This window comes from Homo sapiens, chromosome 10, assembly GCF_000001405.40.
Source record: "Homo sapiens chromosome 10, GRCh38.p14 Primary Assembly".
NCBI classification, from domain to species: Eukaryota; Metazoa; Chordata; class Mammalia; order Primates; family Hominidae; genus Homo; species Homo sapiens.
The window spans coordinates 48,520,956-48,544,176 of record NC_000010.11 but is presented as its reverse complement, the minus strand read 5'-3'; the positions used below and the strand labels follow the sequence as shown (position 1 = coordinate 48,544,176).

General features: G+C 48.7%; 1 protein-coding gene across 28 annotated transcripts in view, besides 3 other annotated features; it reads left to right on the top strand.

Moving 5' to 3' along the window:
• The window catches only part of ARHGAP22 (Rho GTPase activating protein 22), a 226,435-nt gene that overhangs the window by 112,089 nt on the left and 91,125 nt on the right, over window positions 1–23,221 (top strand). For 3 of the 28 annotated variants that reach the window (XM_011540011.3, XM_047425589.1, XM_005270014.4), the window contains exon 1: window positions 19,848–20,124. The exons of 24 other annotated variants lie outside the window; for them this stretch is intronic. In XM_011540011.3, coding sequence (XP_011538313.1) covers window positions 20,073–20,124 — 52 coding nt within the window. In that variant the 5' untranslated portion in view covers window positions 19,848–20,072. Of the gene's footprint in view, window positions 1–11,221; window positions 11,690–19,847; window positions 20,125–23,221 lie in introns of those variants that run through there. One more of the 28 variants, XM_024448102.2, reaches the window with a different exon arrangement.
• Window positions 438–1,223: an enhancer, noted in NCBI's record as "H3K4me1 hESC enhancer chr10:49750999-49751784 (GRCh37/hg19 assembly coordinates)". NCBI's record gives its function as "activates a minimal SCP1, AML or CMV promoter by ChIP-STARR-seq in naive H9 embryonic stem cells {active_cell/tissue: H9 hESC(naive)}" and the evidence as "EXISTENCE:reporter gene assay evidence [ECO:0000049][PMID:30033119]".
• Window positions 10,082–10,622: an enhancer, noted in NCBI's record as "NANOG-H3K4me1 hESC enhancer chr10:49741600-49742140 (GRCh37/hg19 assembly coordinates)". NCBI's record gives its function as "activates a minimal SCP1, AML or CMV promoter by ChIP-STARR-seq in naive H9 embryonic stem cells {active_cell/tissue: H9 hESC(naive)}" and the evidence as "EXISTENCE:reporter gene assay evidence [ECO:0000049][PMID:30033119]".
• Window positions 19,702–19,781: a silencer, noted in NCBI's record as "silent region_2356". NCBI's record gives its function as "represses an Ori minimal core promoter by ATAC-STARR-seq in GM12878 lymphoblastoid cells {active_cell/tissue: GM12878}" and the evidence as "EXISTENCE:reporter gene assay evidence [ECO:0000049][PMID:35858748]".

The following is a 23,221-nucleotide window of genomic DNA, read 5'->3' as shown; positions in this document are numbered from 1 at the left end:
GACGGCAGGACAGTTTCTCCCCTGACCCCACCCAGTCCTTTCTCTTTTTTTTTTTTGACGGAGTCTTGTTCTGTCACCCAGGCCGGAGTGCAGTGGCACGATCTTGGCTCACTGCAACCTCCACCTCCCTGGTTCAAGCAATTCCCTGCCTCAGCCTCCCAAGTAGCTGGGATTACAGGTGCACACCACCATGTCCGGCTAATTTCTTTGTATTTTTAGTAGAGACGGGGTTTCACCATGTTGGCCAGACTGGTCTCGAACTCCTGACCTCAGGCAATCGGCCCACCTTGGCCTCTCAAAGTGCTGGGATTACAGACATGAGCCACCACGCCCAGCCTCTCTCTTTTTTTTTCAGTTCTTCTTTTATCTGTCATAGACAAACAAGCTTCCAATGAGATTTTAATTTTTTAGTTGTGTTGCTTTAAAACAAACAAAAAATCTAATAATCATCGCTTTACAGCTGTGCTTCTCAAATTTCCTGGTGCATCAGAATCCCCCAGGCTGCTGGCCCTTCCCTGGCTCCAGAGGCCTGGAGTGAGTCAAGGAATCTGCATTTCTAATGAACTCTGGACAATACTGGTGCTGCTGGTCTGAGAACTACTCACTGACAGGTCAAGAGACAGCAGAAAAAAGAAAAAAAACTTTATACTTAATCCCTTTAATGGCACTTTTTTTCCTTTTTTTAAATACAGGACATGTTTATTTTTGCCTTGAGTCCCCAAAAATTCTCTAGCTGGTCCTGAGCAGAGTGGGTGAGCCACCCCAGAAGCAGGGGCCCTGAGGCTGTGCTCAGGGTGGTGTGAATCTGGGATGCAGAGAGATGTCCCTGGACTGTGTTTGATTCTGGGCACTGTGCTCAGGAGGGCTGTCCCCAAGGCAGTGAGGAGCCTGGAGGCCACCCCGCTTCCCTGCAGCTCTGAGCTTCTCCACTGTGATGGAAGGAGGACTCTGCGGGGCTCAATGGCCACACAAATGGATGTGAAGGGCTGCACATCTCTGTGCGGGCCTAGGGCTAGCCCCTGCACCATGTTTTTTAGTTGATATTTAGCTGGTGTGTCCCCTTGGGCACATGGATACTCAAGGGGTGAGAACAGACCCTCACAGACACCCAGGGGCCCCCAAGTTGCTCCATACATGCCCACCAGCAGCCAGGTCCCTCTCCCACCAGTCACTAGGACCGTGCTGCTCTGCTGAGGGTGTACTGAAAATGGGCACCAATAGGGAGATGACTCCTGGGCTCAGCCTCCCCAGCTCTCCTATGGAGCCTTCCTTTCTACATACAGACACCAACCTGGGCAAGGAAGTCCAGCCAGGCAGCTCCTCTTCCGACAGCCTGCTACCCCACCTGCAGTGGACAGGCCACCCCCAAGGGTGTTCAGCCTCCACTCTGCCATGCACTAGGCACCTGGATTGGGGATGGGCAACAGACCCATCCCCACAAAGATACCCACCCTGTGGCACTGGCACTGCCGACCCTGAGCATACTCCACCCCAAAACACTCTGGGGTGCCTGACCCCAACCCCAGCCCTCCTCATGCCTGTGGTCAGGCCTCCACTGGGCATGAGGGGAAGACAGCAATAGCCACTGGGCAGGGCCAGGAGAGGCGGGGCAGAGGCCTGGGAATCAGGAGGCAGGAGGGAGCCAGGAAAACCCACTCACAGGAGGCGGAGGCAGAGGCAGCAGGAGGCAGGACTGCAGAAGGGCCCCAGCCCTCAGCATACGCTCCACTGGCCCACTCGACTTCACTTAAAAAACACAAATTTAAAGATAGAATGATTAAGAATTTCAAGACACTAACCACAGAGCATTCAATTCTAAATGCAGAGCCCTTCAAGAGGCAAGGGTGTCACTGAGCACATGCCCTAGTTAAAGGCCATGAAACTGGCCCTGACAATGAGTTTCTGAATTTAAATGCAGGAAGTGGCCCTCTGTTCTGACCTGCTGGGCTCCATCCTGTGGGTACAACCTTCGAACATTCCTTGCTGGTCTCTTCCTGCAAATGCACTGGCCCTCAGAGCTCAAGTCCTGAGTGAGTTTGGTGCACATCTTATCATGGTCCTCATCTCATTCATAAACTTGACATCCAGAGAGGGAAAGTGGCTTCTCCAAGGGCTGGGCATGCACAGCTCCCACCACATTCTCGTGCCATGCTCTTCCCTCCAGCACCCGGCCCCTGCCCTACAGCCTTCTCCTGTCCAACCTGCTGATAGCAAGGCTCCAGCATACACTTCACAGGTGGCTCTTCCTGATCCAATACGGCAAAGGGGCCTTTAACTGAACTCCCCCCATGGAGCTCAATAGGTAATGTCACCCTTGGAGGGTGGCCTGCACCTTCATCCTTGCAGATCGAGGCCAGGGTCCCAATTAGGTGATCAAACTTCAGCCACATCTCTTGAATGATGCCAACTGGAAGGTGCCTTTAGTGTCCCACCAATAGGACTGCCTGCCTGGACCAGCTTGGCTTCCTGGGTGCATAACATGGTCTATACTCCAGTGCACTGGCCCAGCCTCTCTCTTTAGTGTGACACTCTGCCTGCCTGCCTGACCCCACAGCCTGTTCTACACAGGGGGACACTTCCATTGCCTTTGGGGGCTCCAGGATGCCGCCTGTCCTGCAGCGGGCTAGCTGCATGGATCTAGACTCCAGGCTGACTCTCAGCAGGGTCATGCTCTTAGCAGGAGGCTCAAGAAGATCAGGCTGGTGCTGGGCACCACGGTTCTGTGACACAGAGACACAGAAGGATGTGCACAGAAGTCCCTCAGATGGTGATAGCGCACCGGGCAGGAAGGGGTGATGCGCAGGAGGAGGTATGCTTGTGCCAGCGCAGAACAAAGATGTAGATAAAATTCTTTATGAGTGATCTCAGCTAGACTAAATCCCTAGATAAATTAGGATGTGGGGAGGAATGTGGCAGGGGATTAGTAGGTGGGGGTTGAATGACCCAGGTCACCTCTGAGAAACCAAACCCAAGTACAGAGCCTCCTCCAACTGTCAGCTCAGGAACCCTCTGAGACATAGGCTGCTCCCCAGAGTAGGTTCTTCCTATGCACGTGTGGTCCATGGGCCAGCTGCATCAGCATCACCTGGGAGCTTGGTGGAAATACAGACCCTGGGGCCCCACCCATGCCACCTCAAACAGAATCTGTGTTCTTGCAGTTTGTCCTGGGTGCTCTGTGTGCATCTTAAAATTGGAGAAGCAGCACTTTCAAGCAAAACAACATCAAGCCTACCCAACCCTGGACTAGGAGATCCTGAGATGTGATCCCCTCCCTCAAGAACTCCTAGTCCGGGGTTGAGTAGCCTTGATGTTGTTTTGCTCCAAAGCGCTGCTTTTAAGGTGCCTGGTTCTTTAAAAGTGCGTGATAAATTAAACCAATGAAGGAGCAATCATCCAAAAGCAGAAAGAATGCTAAAAGTCATGGTTGGGAGAGGCAACAATAACAAGAAATGGAGTCTAGTTCTCAGGCTGCAAACTGAGCTGCAAGCCAGGGCTGACTACCCATGGGCTGATTCTGGCTCACAGACATATTTTGTTTGGCTCATGCAATATTTTCAATGCACAGGATTTTACCCACTAAAAATATATAGATTTCTATAGGGTAAATTTGGGCCTGCTTCCTCCATATAAAGAATTGACAGGAGCTGGCAGGGCATGGTGGCTCACACCTATAATCCCAGGACTTTGGGAGGCCAAGGCGGGAGGATCACTTGAGGTCAGGAGTTCGAGACCAGCCTGACCAACATGGAGAAACCCCGTCTCTACTAAAAATACAAAATTAGCCAGGCACAGTGGCGCATGCCTGTAATCCCAGCTACTCGGGAGGCTGAGGCAGGAGAATGAACCCTGGAGGTGGAGGTTGTGATGAGCCGAGATTGTGCCATTGCACTCCAGCCTGGGCAGCAAGAGCAAAAGCTGCTTTTTCAGTTTATCTTACCTGCCTGATCTCTATGGGGTTAGAGTCTGTGTGTACTAGTGCACATAATAAACTCAAAAGCAAAGATGGCTAGAAAATGATGGTTATTATGTATTGGCTGACTTATTTGACACTCTTAATTATTTGTCCTGTGGGGTCATGGTTAAGGGTGAGGTGCTCAGTCTTACTGTCTGAGTTTCAATCACGGCTCAGCCTCTCCCCAGATCTGAGGTCCAGAGCGAGTCACAGAACCCTGTAAACTTCAGGCTCCTTATTTGAAAAATGGCCGTGACAAAAGTAGTTCCATGTAGGATGTTAAACGTGTTGCTTGGCACATGGTTAGTTATTGGTAAAGGCTATAAATTAGTTTAAATTAAAAAATTTATTATAAGTCAATGTATTTAAATTAATTTACAGCTATTTAACAATAGCTAATTAGCACAGCATTATAATTGCAGTACCAGAGAAAAACAACATGAAGGAATACAAGTATTTATTCCCTACATTGCTAAAATACCAACACTGATTATCAATATTTTCTATGGAAAGGTATTCAGAATGCCTAACATTTTAAAATTCAGCTAAAATATTAGACATTTCAAATAAAAAGTAAATATTAGAAGCATTAAGTGAAAACAAAAATCTGTGAAATATAAATGTTAAAAATGTTGGCCGGGCGTGGTGGCTCACGCCTGTAATCCCAGCACTTTGGGAGGCCGAGGCGGGCGGATCACGAGGTCAGGAGATCGAGACCATCCCGGCTAAAACGGTGAAACCCCGTCTCTACTAAAAATACAAAAAATTAGCCGGGCGTAGTGGCGGGCGCCTGTAGTCCCAGCTACTTGGGAGGCTGAGGCAGGAGAATGGCGTGAACCCGGGAGGCGGAGCTTGCAGTGAGCCGAGATCGCGCCACTGCACTCCAGCCTGGGCGACAGAGCGAGACTCCGTCTCAAAAAAAAAAAAAAAAAATGTTACCCTTCTCATACTAATTGTTAGCAGATGACATGAATAAAATATTATTCAAAAGTAATGAACTAAACCCTACAAGATAAAGAAACTTCTAATAATATTTGGAATGAAAATCTACTATTTGATGTTATCTGGATCATGAGCATATTTTTGTGCCCATTTTTTCCGGCTGCTGAAACCTTTTGTTTACTCTAGGCTGGTCAAGGCAATGGTGAGACGTTCCAAGCTAAATTTCAAACTAATTTCCAATATTATCCTTTGAGTTTTTCATCTTCAAGTAATTCCATTTCTTCTTCCCCACTTTAGAAGATATCTTTTATTTTAACCTCCCTTCTTTTTTGTTGGCAGGAACTACATTTTTTTATTTGATCATGAGCTTTAGTTTTATTTCAGAGAAAGCATTCCTGGTTTGTGGTCATCTTCTCCAGTGTTAATATGGGTAGGTGGAGATGCCAGTGTGTCACCTGGAGCAAATTCCAGGCTGGAAAGTCTCTGAAGCAGAGTGAAGATTTCTATCATGATGGAGGCAGCGTAGTTCCCCTCCTTCTGGGTTGTGGAAGAATAGAAAACTGCTTTCTAAACAAGCTTTCCTTTACTGGATCCAAACGCCTACTGTAGTGCATTCCCAGGTGTAAATGGTTCTAATTTTTAAAAAACATGTCACAAAAATACTAATAGTTCAGCATTTCTCAAAAGCACATTATTCTGGAATACCAGAATCCCAAAAACTGGAATTACAATTACTGAAAAACACCAGGTCTGGAGAGTCTTCTGCTAGTCCGTTGCCTTCGTGGGTTCCAAGAACATAGCTCTCCCTGATGCTTTTCTGTTGACTTGAGATTGAGGGGACAGAGTTTGGGAGGCCAAGGTTAGGAAAGAAGGGAAGTTGTTGTCTTGAGTTGAATAGTGTCCCCCAGAATTCATGCAGATGCAATGAGCTAAGAGGAGGTAATCCTGAATTAGAGCGGCCCCAAATCCAATGGTTGGTGTCCTTAGAAGCAGAGGAGAGGACAGACAGGATGCACAGAGACACAGAGGGAGGAAGGTCATGTGAAGACAGAAGCAGAAGCTGGGGGATGGGTCTACAAGCCAAGGGTTTCTAGGGAACCTGGAAGTCACCAGCAGCTGGAAGAGGCAAGGAAGGATTCCTCCCTCAAGCCTTTAGAGCTCCACCGCGATCCTGGACTTCTGGCCTCCAGAACTCTAACCAAAGAAGTTTCTGTTGTTTTAAGCCACCCAGTTTGTGGGAGTTAGTTATGGCATCCCTATGGAAAACTCATACCATTGTGGCATTGGGAGTGACACTGCCAGGGCCACTGGCCCTCCGCAGCAGGGCCCATGCTCACTAGTCTTGGAATCCAGTCCACACTCTCAGGGGCCGGAAGACCAAGCTCCTGTTCCTGCTGTCCACTCCTGGCGGGTCTCCCATCTTCCTGCACCCCCTCTCTGCCTAGCACCTCCATCCATGCAGCATGCTGCTCCAGCCATGCTGTATCATTTACTTGGCCCGAGGCACTGCCCCTGGGACTTCCGGTGCCGCTCCCGGAGGCCTGCGGTCAGGTGGGAAGAACAGAGCTGCAGGCATCCAAGAGACCGAGGAGAGGACCTGCTGCTTCCCCCCTGTGTGCGCCACCTTGAAAAGTCACCTCATCTTCCTGAGTTTCACTGGATGGTGACAGTAATGACCTTTGCAGGCCCTTGGCAGACATTTTGGAATACAGCAGTGCCTGGCACACAGCAGATGCTCAATAAACATGAGAACCTCCCGTCAAGTCAGCATAGGAAAGACTGAGAATTCCAGCATCCTGGAGAACCAGGCCTCCCCTGATGGGCTTGGGGGCAGAGCTGGAGCATGTGGGGACAGGAGCAACACACCCATAGTGAGGCTGGAGAGGGATGTGAGCCACTTATCCTCATCACATGTACACAGCCCGAGGATGAGGAGAGGGCTCCAGGAAGGGGCTCTGGTCCACAGTCTTCCATGTCTGGCACAGAGCAGGGCTCCACAAATCCTGGTGGCAGGAATAACGCTGGAGAAGCAGAGGACCCTCTGGCTGATGCACCAGAGCAGAGCTGCAAGACCAGCCACCCCGCAAGGGCTGCCCTGAAGGAATGTGGAAACCAGAAGGATTTCTTTCTTTTCATTTTTTAAAAATTAAGAGAAGCTAACCTTCTTTGTCCTGTGAAGGGTCACTTAAGTGGCCCTCTTAGATATGCAAATGCAAGGCTAGAAAGCAGCCGGCCTCCTGGGATTCCTGTATAACAGGAATTTTTGCAGCCCTTGGTGATGGGGTTTTTTTTTTATTGAGTGGCCTGGCAAAGATTGTGCCCTTCTTTGGCCTGCAGAAGAGGGGTGATTGGTTGAGAGAGCTTGGGGAGGAAAAGAAATTTGTGGACTAATTTGCACAAAGAGCCCAGGTTTTCTGAAAGGAATGAGACAAATACACCAACACAGTGTTTTCACACTTTTTTGACAAGAAATAGACATTACATTGCCCCCTGGGAGCCCAGGGCAACAGAAGCTGAGGCTTCAGGAAACACCGCTGTTCCTACATGCAGTGCCTTCTGGCATGTTCTGTCCTATGTGAGTCTATCTCCTTCTTAAAAATTCCAGACAAAGCCCACAGAATTGATTTCATGACCCCTCTAATGAACTGGTGTCCATAGTCTGAAAAATGTTTTTTGAGGTTTGGTTTACAGGAGGTCTGTTGGGTGGATTGAGGCCTGGCTGTAGGAAGTGGGGAAACAGAGGCACTGGAGGTTGAGTGAGCCAACTTGGTACTGAGTAACTAGCAGGTGGGGGGACAGTGGTCTTCTGAGCTATGCAACAGTAGAGCTGGGTCTGACCTGGCCATCTGAGGCCAACTCAGCCCGGAAAATAGTGGCGAGGGCACAAGAGCTTGCAAACTTTGTCCTCTAGCATGAAGGTCCCCTGCCTGATCCTGCAGAGACTTGGCAGCCCTTTCCTTCCCCTGCTGGCAGCTCCACAGGCTCAACCCCCTATTTCTATACAGCTGTCCTCTCATTGGCAACACCAAGGCCAGCTTGGAAGATACCACCCTGTGCCCATCATCCTGGGGCAACCCAGTGCCCTCGTCTGGCAGAGACCTCCCCCTCAAGACTGAGCAGAGTGTGGAGGTATTCTCAGAAGGCAGAACACCCTCGAAGAATTGCAGTTTCTGCAGCAAAACCCCGAGGAACAAGGGACCTTCCCCACCCCAACATCTATCTATGCTTTGAACAGGACCCAGGCCAGCCTCTGCCGGGCCCCATCCTGCGCCTTTCTCCTTCCACAGCTAGGTGGCCACAGCAAGCGCCCATGCTCCCCTTTCCTCAGGGCAGAAACTCTCCCAATTCCCGCCCCTCCACCTGTGAGCACACCTGGCCACAGCTCCACTGAGAAAGGGAAGGGTGTCGGGCATTTGCCATGTGCCATTCTCTTTTTTTCATATCACAGCCAATGCTGACAACCCTCAGGGCCTTCTACCCCATTCGTTGTCCACATGAACTGAGAGTCTTTCAAGATGGTAGAAGTTGGAATTCAATTCAGATAGCTTTGGCGTCAGTTTCAGTCAAAGCAGTGTGGTGGCAACGCACCAGCTTGGGTGCCAAAAGTTCTGACTGTCCCTTACAGCACCTCACCCCTCTGGACCGGTGTGGCAGCCAAAGCCTCTGCTTCTCTTGCAGCTGCAAAGATTGACTCCGCCTCCCATCCTCCCTGCAGTAAGACAGGGTCACATGACTAAACCCTGGTCAAGGAAACACAGGTAGGAGTGACAGGTGACCTCTGAGGCTTCTGAGGCTGCTGTCAGCACCAGCTCCTAAAATCCCTTGAGAAACTCCCTGCCCCCTCTCCCTGCATCTCACAGCAGAGGATTCAGAGGAGGACACTGAGGTCCTAGAAGGAGCCTGGGTCCCTGAGTGACCACATGGAGCAGCCCCACTCCCTCTTCCCTTTTCATGCTGACCTGCAGGAGCCAGTGACCTGAGCAAGAAGAGTCTTTAGGGGATTAAGCCACTGAGATTTGGGAGCTGTTAGAGCAGCAAGCATGAATTACCTGATTGATGTGCCCGGTTTCCTTATCTGTAAAAGGAGGTTATCAACATCATTCTCAGGGTTGTTGTGTCAATGACTTATGATTCAGTGAAAACACAAACCCAGGATCTGACACATTCTAGGTAACTGAGGTCCCTCCTTACAGTGTCAGCAGCAGCCACAGCAGCAACAGTGCAAGGAGCACTAGTTAACTCCCAGTGTGCACAGTACTATGCCCCAGCTAAGTGGACCAGACACCAGATGGGCCTAGTTCATATACAGGGTCTCATGTTCTATAGCATGGGGGTGCTGGGAGCCTTAAAAGGTGTGCAGGACTGACTGCAAATGCTTTGTAAAATGAATTTTTCCTATAACTGCAGACCATTAAGGTGATATCTGTAAATAGAATGCTAAGCTGAGGGGTCACACATAGTAAAAGTGAGAAGTAAGAAAGTAAGGATCACCCTGGAGGCAGACACCTCAGTTCTAATTCTGACTTTTCCGCTTACTATTTGGAACCCACATAAATCACTTAACCACTTCAAGCCTTAGTTTCCCCATCTGTAAAATGGAGATTATGATAGGGTTCTTGCAGGGATTAATGAGTTAATTTATGCAGAATGCTCAGAACAGTGCTTGGCATACAGTAAGTGGCGTGTATGCCACTAAGTGATTCCTGCTCAGGTAACCGAGACCGCCTCCCACCCTGAGTGCATGGTAGGGTCTGATGTCATCACAGCTGCTGGGAAGTACCTGTCCCCTTTGGGAGCTTCTGCTGTGTTTGTCCATATGGCAAGGACAGAGAGCCCTCTTGGCCCCATGGCCTCCTGCTCTTTCCCATGCTGCATTTCTCCTGGGGGTGGGGGAGGAAAGAAAGTTGGAAAGAGCAGGTGGGGGCAGGGTGGGGGTGAGGCTTCAGGGAAAGGACAATGGGCTTTGTAAATCCCTCCCTGGGCAGGCTGGCCAAGTTCAATGGCTTCAGGCCACATGAACAGCAAGAAAAATGTGGCCCAGGAATTTCTCCCCAACGATTCCCCTTGTCTTTCTCTGTGGGAATTTGGAGCTGCAGACACATTCCTTCCATGAACAGCATCCGTGGCAGCTGAAGGCCCATTGGCCCGAGCTGGGGAACCTGGCTGGCCGGCACTTCTAGAGCTCTGCCCCTACTGCCTCCCCCTCCAAGGAGTGGGCACTGCCAGTGTGCCAGAGAATGCACTCTCACTGGCAGACCTCACAGCTTGCTCTGTCAGGGACTGACCCCTCCTGGGCACGGCCCTCTCCTCTCCTGAACCAAACTGCCCAGACAGCTTTCACAGCTGCTTTTCCACAATCTGTCACCTGGAAGTGGAGACTAGACATCTTGGAGAGAATTCCCATCCATTCCTTTTTTTTCTAAGCCAAGTACTTCCCGACTTAAGAGGAAATTACTTCCCAGATGCTCTAAAATTCTTTTAAAACACTGTAAAGTACAGTCCACAGGCCAGATCTGGCTTGCCACCTGCTATTGTACATAAAGTTTTATTGGAACACAACCACACTCATTCATTTACGTAGTGTCGATGGTTGATTTCACACCACAATGGTGGAGCTGAGTAGTTGCTAAAGAGACTGTATGGCCCTCAAAGCTTAAATATGTTTACTATCTGCCCCTTAGAGAAAGTTTACTGACTTCTGGTTTACTCCTTTGTTATTCCACACAGGATTTGAAATGGCCTCTATTGAGAAGACTTAGAATAAAATAGTGATACCACAATAGTTCAAAATAATTGAGAGCCTGAGAAAATGCAAATAAAAGTAGCAACTCAAAATCATGAACCACAACACAAATATGAAGACTGTTAGGACCTACATATTTGCCAAAGCCAGGCTTTAAATTTTTCTTGAGCTTCCTGGAAGCCAAAGGAAAAAGAGAAATGAGACAAGTCTCATCAACAGAAAGAAAAAAGAATACCAGTCCTTATGGGATCTAGAGCTTTTTCTCTAGAAAAAGATGTATGGGGCTTGCTTCAAACAGAAAAAGAGTAATACCCACCTTCCCCAGAATCATATACTTAGTTAAAAAAAAAAAAAAAAACAACAGAACAATGAGTCTGCAAAATGAATAGCAACAGCAATGCTGTTGATGAGGGTCAGTACGGGGACAGGGGTTCTTGTTAATATGTCTGGCCAGAGATTGAACTAGATATCAGAAGGCAAAGCAGTTGGCTTCCATGCACTGTGCTAAAAGTGCATAAAACATTTTGAGAGGGTGTAAGAAGCCTCATTTCTGCTTATCACTTCTGTATATCTATTTGTTTCAGAGCAAAAACTGGAGTTCAATAAGGACAGGCCCAACTTGTCACTAACTCACCTTACAGTGCCTGGCGCAAAGTAGGCCCTCAAGAGATTGCTCGTGAACATATACACCATGGAATACTATGCAGCCATAAAAAAGGATAAGTTCATGTCCTTTGTAGGGACATGGATGAAGCTGGAAACCATCATTCTCAGCAAACTATCACAAGGACAAAAAAACCAAACACTGCATGTTCTCACTCATAGGTGGGAATTGAACAAAGAGAACACTTGGACACAGGAAGGGGAACATCACACACTGGGGCCTGTCATGGGGTGGGGGGTTGGGGGAGGGATAGCATTAGGAGATATACCTAATGTAAATGAAGAGTTAATGGGTGCAGCACACCAACATGACACATGTATACATACGTAACAAACCTGCATGTTGTGCACATGTACCCTAGAACTTAAAGTATAATAAAAAAAGAAAAAAAATTGCTTGTGAAAAATGAGGAGGTTGTGTTAAAAGAGAACCTTCCAATTCCAATGTCTGTGGGTCTGTGTTATGTGGACATACAGTGTGTGTGCACACTGAATTTTAGCCAAACTCCTAATATAGATCAGAAATATGATGGGAGAAGGGGGTGGGGGCAGGGACGCAGGCCCAGATGAGACCCTCACCACCAAGAGGCAGAAGTCAGTGAGTGGTTGTTAAGAAGGTGACCAGCAGTGTTCAGACTGCCCAGATTGGAGGACAGGCTCTACCCTCTACCCACCAGCTGTGTGATCTTGAGAGCTCGCATAACCTGGGCGGGTGTCCATATCCTCACCTGTAGATTGGATCTGATGACATATCACCCTTACAGGCTATTGTGAAAATTAAACAAAATAATGCCCGTGAGTTACTAGTGCCAATCAAAGGTATGTTTTGTGATAAGCTGTCTACAAAGTGTCTACATCACGCCCTTCTTCAACAAGCTCCCTCTACCAGAGGCCAGGGCTGGCAGGAGACAGACATTATTCTGAAAAGCTAGGAGCAATAACCCGCGGTCTCAATCCAGCACTCCACAGGGCTTGTCTTTTTTAACTGGAAGTCTCAACTACAGTTATGTGTGCCTTTGTCCCACAGGCCATCTTATTCACCATCGAGTCCCATTCCTTTTCCCCAAAAAACATTTATCATAGAATTGTTAAGATCACAGGCTAGAAAGCAAGATGGGCTGGGTTCCAATCTGAGCTTAACCACTAATTAGCTGTTGTGACCTTGTGCAAATGACTTCACTTCTCTGTACTTCGGTGCCCTCACTTCTCTGTACTTCGGTGCCCTCCTCTTGCAAGTGGAAATAATGATGACATCGAATGCATAGGATTGCTCTGAATTCTAAGTGAACGTGCACATGTCAAGCTCTTAGCCTGGCACATTGTCAGGGCCAGGCAGTGCTAGCCATAAGGATTTTGCATCACTTCCTATGTTTCAGCTATCTGTAACTGCCTAACAGACTACTCCAAAGTTTAATGACTTAAAACAACACATATTTTCCTTTTTTAAAAAAATGTATTTCAATAGGTTTTGGGGGAACATGTGGTGTTTATTACATGAATAAGTCCTTTAGTGGTGATTTCTGAGATTTTGGTGCACCCATCACCTCAGCAGTGCAAATTGTACCCAATGTGTAGTCTTTTATCCCTCAGCCTCCTGCCACCCTTTCCCCCAATTCCCCAAAGTCCATTGTATCATTCTTATGCCTTTGCATCCCATAACTTAGCTCCCAATTATGAGTGAGAACATACGATGTTTGCTTTTCCATTCCTGAGTTACTTCACTTAGAATAATGGTCTCCAGTCCCATCTAAGTTGCTGCAAATGCCATTATTTCGTTCCTTTTTGTGGCTAAGAAGTATTCCATGGTATTTATATACTACATTTTCTTTATCCACTCTTTGATTTATGGGAATTTGGGCTGGTTCTATATTTTTGTAATAGCGAATTGCGCTGCTATAAACATGCGTGTGCAAGTATCTTTTTCATATAATGACTTACTTTCCTCTGGGTAGATAGCCAGTAGTGGGATTGTTGAATCAAATGGTAGTTTTACTTTTAGTTCTTTAAGGAATCCCCACACTGTTTTCCATAGTGGTTTTGTATTAGTTTCCATTCCCACCAGCAGTGTAGAGGTGTTTGCTTTTCACCACATCCACGCCAACATCTATTTTATTTTTATTTTTTTATTATGGCCATTCTTGTGAGAGTAAGGTGGTATCGCGTTGTGGTTTTGATTTGCATTTCCCTGATCATTAGTGATGTTGAGCATTTTTCTATATGCTTGTTGGCCATTTGTATATCTTCTTTTGAGAATTGTTTGTTCGTGTCCTTAGCCCATTTTTTGATGGGATTGTTTGTTTTCTTCTTGTTGATTTGTTTGAGTTCTTTTTAGATTCTGGATGTTAGTCCTTTGTCAGATGTAAAGATCACAAAGATTTTCTCCCACTCTGTGGGTTGTCTGTTTGCTCTGCTGATTGTTTCTTTTGCTATACAGAAGCATTTTAGTTTAATTAAGTCCCATCTATTTATCTTTGTTTTTGTTGCATTTGCTTTTGGGTTTTTGGTCATGAAGTCTTTGCCTAAGCCAATGTCTAAAAGGGTTTTTCCAATGTTATCTTCTAGAATTTTTACAGTTTCAGGTCTTAGGTTTAAGTCTTTGATCCATCTTGAGTTGATTTTTTTTTTTTTTTTTTTTTTTTTGCAATGGAGTCTCACTCTGCCTCCCAGGTTGGAGTGCAGTGGTGCAATCTTGGCTCACTGAAACCTCCGCCTCCTGGGTTCAAGCAATTCTCCTGCCTCAGCCTCCCAAGTAGCTGGGAATACAGATGACCACCACCATGCCTGGCTAATTTTTGTATATTTAGTAGAGATGCGGTTTCACCATGTTAGCAAAGCTGGTCTCGAACTCTTGACCTCAGATGATCTGCCCACGTTGGCCTCCCAAAGTGCTGGGATTACAGGCGTGAGCCACCGCGCCCAGCCAAGTTGATTTTTATATAAGTTGAGAGATGAGGATCCAGTTTCATTCTTCTATGTGTGGCTTACCAATTATCACAGCACCATTTGTTGAATAGGGTGTTCTTTCCCTACTTTTATGTTTTGTTTGTTTTGTTGAAGATCAATTGACTGTAAGTATTTGGCTTTATTTTTGGGTTCTCTATTCTGTTCCAATCGTCTATATGCCTATTTTTATACCAGTACCATGCTAAAAACAAAACACATTTTATTTGCTCACTGTTCTGCAGTGTGGCCATGGCTTGGTGGGGACAGCTTCTCTCTGCTCCACATGGTATCACTTGGAGAATCCACTTCCAGGACAGCCTCACTCACACAGCTGGAAGTCAGTGTGGTTGCTGGCTTGGACCTCAGTTCTCCATTTGGCCTCTCCACATTGCTAGGTTGGGGTTCTTGCAGCACAACAGTCTCAGGACAATTCCACTGTTTACAAGGGGGTGCTTTCCCTGACGACAGGGAAAAGCAGAAGCTGCCAAGTTTTCTTAGGACTTAGACCCAGAATTGGTCCAGAGTCACTTCTGCTACCTTCTGTCAATTAAAGCAGCTCATAGGGCAGCCTAGATTCGAGGGAGGGGATTACATAAGATGCAAGAACTGGAAGGTGTGGTTAGCTGGGGCCCCTGAGCTAACACATTGCCCTGCCTGGTCTCCAACTCCTCCAACCTGTGTTCGGCCCACATCTCTCACCTGGCTTATGCCTTTTGCATCTTTGCTTTTTCTCTGCTCCAGTCTCCCCCTTCCAGTCCCTATCTCGCTCTAGCCACCAGGCTAGCCAGTCAGAATCACAGGCTGCATCATGTCTTCTACCCTAAATGCCATGTTGTGACTCCCCTGACCCAAGTAAAGAGCAAGTTCTTAATGGGATACTACTGCACCCATTGGAGGACTGTGTTAGTCCATGCAAATTGCTATAAAGGAATACCTGAGACTGGGTCATTTATAAGGAAAAGAGGTTTATTTTGGCTCAAAGTTCTGCGGGCTGTACAAGCATAGCACTAACATCTGCTTGGCTTCTGGGGAGGCCTCAGGAAGTTTACAATCATGGCAGAAGGCAAATGGGAGCATATGTGTCCCATGGCAAGAAAGTAACAGACAGAGAGAGAGAGAGAGAAAAAGGAGGAGATCTCATACTCTTTTAAACAACCAGCCCTCATGTGAACTACCAGAGTGAGAACTCACTTATTGCCACAGGGATGGCACCAGGCCATTCATAAAGAATCAGCCCCATGACCCAAATACCTCCCACTAGGCCCACCTCCAACACTGGAGGTCATACTTCAACATGAGACTTGGAGGGGACACACGTCTACACCATATCAGGGACCATTCCTGTGCTGTCCCCTAAGGTGCTGGACCCCTCCTTGCAGCTCAGGTCCCACCTCAAAGCATTCTCCTCTGCAGAGTTTTCTTTACCACCCTCGGCAGACTGGCTTTCTGTCCCCTACAGCTCCCGGGGCAACCTCCTATCCCCCGCCCCACATTGGGCCTTGTGTCAGGCATTGAGCTGTGTTCAGTCATCATTTGTACATGAGTGAAGGAAAGAATGATCATTATAGGCTCCCTAAGCTATGCTTGTGGCTAAGATGGTACATTCCCATTTATTCCCTTCCTCTGAGCTACCCAGGGCTGAGCTCACACCTGAGATAGTGCTGTGAGGGTGCCTTGGATATTCTGGGGAGGAGCAATCCAGACTCCTGCATTGGAACTATGGAGGGCAGGTCCTGAGTCTCCTAAGAAAATCCTTGAATGACCTGGGGCATATCTGGGACCAGGGGCTCAGGCTGCACAGGCTTCAGGATCCCAGCAGCAGCAGCACCCCCTAGAAACAGCTTGACATTCTCACCACCCAACTGTGGGTCTCCCAGAGAAATGGAGTAAAGTGGCAGGAAGTAGAGCTCTGGATGAATGGGGCAGCCTCTATCCCATAGAAACTTTGTCCTCAAAGCTGGTGTCCAGCCTCCTCCCAGAGCCCATTGTGCCCACTGGATATCCACCCCCTGGTTCTATCTCTTCTGCCCTGTGCCTGGTGGTGGGCTGGAGGCTGGCCTTCCTGCTGGGAAACATGTCCTAGAGGCTCCCACCTCTGGCCCTTCTTCTGGAGCAAGGCGGCTTGAGCACAGCTAGAGCCTTGCAGCATATGTGATCCTGATGTTTTGGCTAAATTCTAGTTAGTTTGGGGTCATCATCAATTTGGGTGGCAGAGCTATGTTCAGAAAATTTGATTTTTCAGACAAATTCTATGCTAAGTGGGTGCTTTGCCAGTCGCAGCCCATGACTTTAGGCCTAACTAGGGAAAACTACCCATTCTTCTGTTTATTTAACCATTAAACCATCCATCATCCTTCCTTCTGTTCACCTATGGAACACATCCATTCAACCATCCCTCCACCCATCCATCATTCTGTTGACCTATCCACACCTCCATCCAACCAACCATCCATCCACCCATCCATCCATCTATTCACCTATCCACACCTCCATGCAACCATCCATCCACCCATCCATTCATCTATTCATCTATCCACACCTACATCCAATCAACGATCCATCCACCCATCCATTCATGTATTCACCCATCCACACCTCCATTCAACCAACCATCCACCCATCCATCCATCTATTCACCTACCTACACCTCCATCCAAACATCCATTACTCCATCCATCCATCCTTCCACCCATCCATCCATCCATTTACCCATCCATCTGCCCATCCATCCATCCATGCACCCATCCATTCATCCACCCATCCATCTTGGCTCTGCCACTTACTACCTCATTGGTCTTGGGCAAGTCTCTTCACCTTTCTGAACATTAGTTTCTTCCTTTGTAAATTGAATCTCATGGCATCTGCTTCATGCGGTTGTCCTGTGGTTAACTGAGATAACCTTTGTGAGTTGCCTGGCACATGGTGGGAAACACATAGTGAATGTTATTTTCCTTCCCCCTTGAGGAAGGACACACAACTAAAAAACTATAAAAAGACAATGTGTAATTAGGAATTAAAGTGTGTGAAACCAAAGGCAATAAAACAAGAAGCCCCTGCCTTCCTATTTGTCTGCTGAACTGCCTTGGGAGTTGATATTTAAAGCCGCTTTGAAAAGTCGAGTATCCCAAAATATATTTAAACGGTTCAATGGGGACGTTGACCCTTTATAATAGGCTCATTTGAAACGATCCTGCTTTGCTACTTCCTCTCAGAAAGATAAACAAGCGGCCCACAATGGCCGCTGTGATGTTTTCTTTTAAATCTTGCTTTCCAAATGTAGGACTTGGCCGTTGGACAATCACCCGAGGGGCTCACTCCCCGCAGATGCTCTCCCTGAATGCAGGGAGCTCTAGCTTGGAATTCCTGGGGCCTCATTAAGCCCGCTGTGACTAAGTGATCTTGCCTGGTGCTAAAACTGTTTAAAATGACTTGGCAGCAACCAGAAGTCAGGTCTCTCTGTTTTTTCTCAGTTACTCTCTCTTTGTAACCCCCACCTATGTGTCATGAAGTGAAAACATCTTTCTTTCCGGATCTAACGCAGGAAAACCCTTCTCTCTCCCCGAAGCCTCACCCTGGTCTTTCTGAGGAGTTAAAGGAGAGGGAGGGAGGCAGAAATCTGCCCTGCTCTTGTTAATCTCTCCTTTGAATGAAGACTTAACTCCTGGGAAAACCTCTTCCCTGCTCTAAGTCATTCTTTCCTGCCCCCACATTTATTTAACTCTTCTGCTCCGTGCCTTGGGCAGCCTCTGCTTTCCAGCCTGCCCTTGCTGAGATTCTCCTCTGAGACCACCTCTGTTCTCCCCAAATGGAATTGTGGTAGGGAGGGAGGGAGAAAATTCCAGTCAAGTCAAGGCCATCAGAGCTGGACCACAGCCCTGCTTCAGGGTTAGGAACAGATCCTAGGAACTGGGGGGTGACAAAGAACCTTACATGAAGAAGCCTACTCTGTGCCAAACACCTAAAAATATAATTATCTCAATCAAAGTAAATTGATTATTTACTTTAATTACACAATAATACCTGATTATGCTTTCCTTTTACAGAATGAGGCCATTATAAAAAAGCCAAAGTCTCTTGACACCCACTTTACTCCATTCTTCTTCCACCATCTCCCCAAAGGGAACCACTCTTGGTTTCCTGTTTTCCTCCCATATATTTTTCTAAGCCCAAGGGCCTAGAACAGAGCATGGTACAGAGTGAACACTATAGTAATATTTTGTGAGTATGGGTATGTGTCTTACATAAGTGCCATGAATCCGTAAATCTCAAACATTCAGCCATAGCACTCTCCTTTTATATCATATACCATCTTATGAAAATTCCAGTGTACTTGATAATTCTTTCATTTGTTTGTTTGTTTTGAGACAGAATCTCGCTCTGTCACCCAGGCTGGAGTGCAGTGGCCGAATCTCGGCTCACTGCAACCTCTGTCTCCCGAGTTCAAGTGATTATCATGCCTCAGCCTCCCAAGTAGCTGCAATTACAGGTGTGCGCTACCATGCATGGCTAATTTTTGTATTTTTAGTAGAGAAGGGGTTTTGCCATGTTGCCCAGGCAGGTCTCAAACTCCTGGGCTCAAGTGATCCACCTACTTTGGCCTCCTAAAGTACTGGGATTGCAAGCACGAGCCACCATGCCCGGCCGATGATTCTTTTACTGATGAACATTTTGGTGGTTCCAACTTTTTGCAATCACAAGCAAGGCTGCCATGAATAGCCTTCCATAGACTTTCCTGGGCATGTGGGGACACATTTCCATGGGGTGCATACTAAGAAATGAGCTTGCTCCCAAGGCAGCAGCATTTTTAGTTTTAATAAAGCAGCTTCCATGTTACCTTCCAAGGTGATTGCACCGAACACACTCTCATGAAAAAGTGCCCAAATCCTCTCCAAGACTTGATGATGATGATAGCTCACACTTGCAAAACACTTACCTACAGGCCACTTGGGTTCTAAGTCCTTGTATATATCAACTCATTTAATTGACACAACCATCCGGTGAAGCAGTTTCTGTTATCTTCTCTGTTTTATAGGTGGGGAAACTGGGCACAGAGAGAGTTTGAATAACTTAATTCTTAATTTGTGCTAAGTAGCATCTGAACCGGTATCATTTTCCTCACTTTTCAGGTGAGGAAACAGTCTCAGAGGGGAGATGACTTATCCAAAGTCACACAGCTCATAAGTAGCCCGCCAGGTTTGAGGGTAGCCTGGGCAAACACTCCCTCTTCCTACTACTGCACAGTACAGGTGAGCTGGGAAACTGAGAGCTCGGTGGTCCTGAACACCCCCGACAAAGTCACCCTTGAGATGACTGCCCAGAGGATGCTGGTGGGGTTGGGGGCGTCTCCCTTGCACAGCGAGGGCGCCCCTTCTTCCCATTCTGCGCGGGGAGGCCAGGCCGGTGTGGCCCCCCACCCCTGCTTGGCTCCCAGGGAGGCGGAGGCAGCCCCGGCTCCGTGGCGCCCCCTGGCGGCTCCTGGGAGAGCGCGCGGCCCGGCACCCCGGGAGAGTAACGGGCCGTGGGGAGGGCGCCGGCGAGGGCAGGGAGCAGCGCGGGGCCGCCCCGGCGCGCGGAGATAAAAGCGGGCAGTGGCGCGGCGGTCGCGATCTGCGCGTTCTCCTATTGATTAGCAGGGTCTGCCCGGAGGCCGGCATGCCCGCTGCGCGGGGCCGCGGTGGAGTGTGAGGGCCCGGGAGCCGCGGGCCGGCGGTCCCGCGCACCCTGCGCCCAGCTGGGCACTGCCCGTGGGCCGGACCTCGGCCGCGCCGCCCCGGGGCGCAGGCGGCAGGCGGGGAGAGGAGCCGAGCGGCGGGGCCGCGGGCGGCTGCCATGGGGCTGTGCTGCTGCAAGGACTGGAGGGGACACCTGCGAGCGCCCAAAGGTAACTCCGGCGCGCACGTGCGCCCCGCTCCCTGCGGCCGCCGCCAGAGGCTGCCAGCCCCGCCTCGGGGACTCGCCACGGGGTGTCCAGGGCCGCCCGCACCTGCCTCAGCTTTGGAAAGGGCTCAGGTGCGGCTGCTGCTCCTCTGAGTCTCCTAACTTTGGAAGGGGAGGCTCCCCTTCACTCGGGGCGCGGGGGCGCATCCTGGGGCTCCTCGGTCCCCATGTGGGAGTGGGGGTGGGGTCCGGCCCCTGGGCGGGAGTGGGTAGAGCGGAGGGGAGGGTCCGCCCTCCAGGGCCCGGGGCTGGCCGCGGCGCCGGCTGCAGGTCCGCCAAGTCCACGGCCGGGACGGAGGAACCCCCGGCGCCCAGACCCGCTCGCAGGTCTCTGCACCGCGAGCCCGGCGCGCGCCCTGCGCCGCCCCTGCGGCTTAACTGCCGGGAGAGGGACCATTCATTCTCGCCCGCCTCTGTCACAAACTTGGACGGTGGGGCCCTGACTCAGAGTTTTCCAAAACTCGCGGCGGAACCTGCGAGCAGAGCTGCTTGAGGAATGCAGCAGTCTTGGAGAGGGCCCAAAGCCCAGAAACACGCTTAGGACGTTGGCGGCCGCCGGAGGTCCGGCCTCCCGGGGGCTGGGGCCCGGCCGACTTAACCCTTGACTGACTGAAATGATCCCTGTTGATCGTTGGGAACATAGTGGTGCATCCCTTTACTGCAGCGCTCCCTAAACTCACCTGACCCTAACACTCACCTGCCGCGCTTATTAAGCATGCAGATTCCCAGGCCCCACCCTGGCCTGCTGGATAGGCTCTGGGGAAGGCCTTGGGAAACTGTGTGTTTAAGGAGTTCCCCAAGTGACTCCTATGGCCAGGTGAGTCTGGGAAGCCTTGCCTGTAAACCATATAGGGTAAGGCAGGCTCTGCCAGAATGAGCACTAGGTCTTCCTTCCTCCGAAAAGTGTATTCTGCATCCAGATACAGAAAAGGTCAGGCAGCCTTCGACCTTGTCCAGGTGAGAATGGTGCCATCAATGTACAGGCTGGTTTCACAAAGGGTTTGAAGTAGCTTATAACATATATAATACTTAACTATTTAAAAACCTAAACAGGACCCCACATTTACACAGGACGTAGAGAGGTCAAGGGAAAATGGAGCCCAGTTAATCTGGCTATGAGGTATGATCTGTGGTTGAGCCTCTTTGCAACCAAAACCAAGTGAAAAATGTGAGTGCTGTAGTTGCAAGGTTCTCATTGTCCCAGAGCAACAGTTTCCTCAGCTTCTGATTGTAGAAAGAATGAAAAAGAATTTTGCACATGAGGCTTCATTCTTGGAAGCAGGGGCCGAGAGCCCTGTGTGTGGTGTCTTCACTATGACAATAGCTAGGGCTGCAGTAGGGTTTAGAGGGCAAGGTCTTGCTGCATGCTCCCCGAGGGCAGGTCAGAGCCCAGGATTTCACCCCCGCCAGGGCCTGGACGAGCAGCTTTAGTCTCTCCTGACCCCTCTTCAGTAAACATGGTAAAGAGTGTCCCAAAAGCAAGGGTGGATTTACAAAGTCTTGGTTAGAGAGGACATAGACTCATTAAGCAGCCTCAGAAGAGAGCCAGGGGCACCTCCTCTTGCTTAGGTCTGTCCTCTGGGGCTGTGGACCCCCAAGGCCAGCTGCTGGCTTCACCAGTCCAGGTAAGGAAAAAGCCTGGTCTGGGAGTGTTCCCCAGCTGGGCCCTACCCTCCCACCTACCCGAGAGATGGCTGGCCACAGCAGCCTGGGAGTAGGCACTGAGTCTGAAGTGCCTACAAGGTTCTGCAGCCCATGGAAGTTAGCCAAGCTGGCCAAGTGGGTGGGGAGCGCTGTGGTGCCAGAGTGGATGACCAGCCACTGTCTGGCAGGGAGGAGAGAACCCATGCAATTGTTGGAGAGTCTGAGGTTCAAGGAAGACAGATGTTTGATGTCTTAGTGTACAAAGTCTCCAAGGGTTTAAATGCTGCAGGCTCATTTAACAAATTTGAACCCATGTGGCCAGTCTGGCTGGGTGGCGGACAGTCTGAACCATTGTTCACAATTAGTTCTGCAATAAACACGGGAAGGGTTATTTGGTCAAATAATCTTAGACATAAGGAATTATGAAAGTTTGGAAGATTTTTCACAGCAAACAGAGCCTTTGCCACACTGGCACAGTTGTGCCTGCTAAGTCAGGTGGATTGGAGGTATGGTCTCCACACCTTTCCCTAGGGAACCTTCTTTTCATAGAGCATTTCATGGCACACATATGTGTGGACACACTTTGAGAAATGCTGCTTTGGACATTAAACTGTTCGGTTGTAATAGCAGTAACACAGTATGTCTGTGTATGTATCCATGTGTGTGTTTAGCTCTTGCCACCCACCTAAGGAGCTATCTGACTCTCTAGCCTAGAGATGTGTATGTGCATTTTTTTAAGAAAAGCTTGAAAGAGAGTCCATTAATCATTGATATCATTTCAATTAAAGCAACAGCTAAGACAACAGTTGTTCTTATTGATTTCATTCTTGGATGAATCAAACTCTTACAACAGAACATTTTAGCATGTTTGTCCCTGTGTAAAAATCTACTTGATAAAGCAGAAAAGCTGAAATATTCTATAATCTCATGAAGAGAGCAGCAAAAATATATCAAGAGCCAGAGCCACATTAGTAGGTGTCATCATCACGCCTTTAAAACCCAAATCCTGGGCTTTATCCAGGAGCCCCTTGCTCTCCTGCTGGCTGCAAAGCTGTAGGTGGGCACAGTGGGTCCGGGAAGGGATTGTTGCGTGCCTTTTTCGGGGAGGGGAGGGTGTGATATGCTGTGACATTAATCCCACTTAATATCATATGCAAGACAGGTTTTCACAAATAGAGAAATCCTGGGTTCCAGGTGCTCCCAAAAAGCTGAAAGGTCAGTGAGCAGGATCTGATTTGTAGAGGATAAGCCTCCTCTAAAAGCAGAGGGCTCATGTACTTGTCTGAACTCCGAGGGTATTGTTTCTGGGGCATGTTTCCAGGTGCATCTGTATTTAGAGCTCTGTGATGGGTCTGTTTGGTGGCAAATTTCATTTTCTTCAGCTTTGCATTGTTACC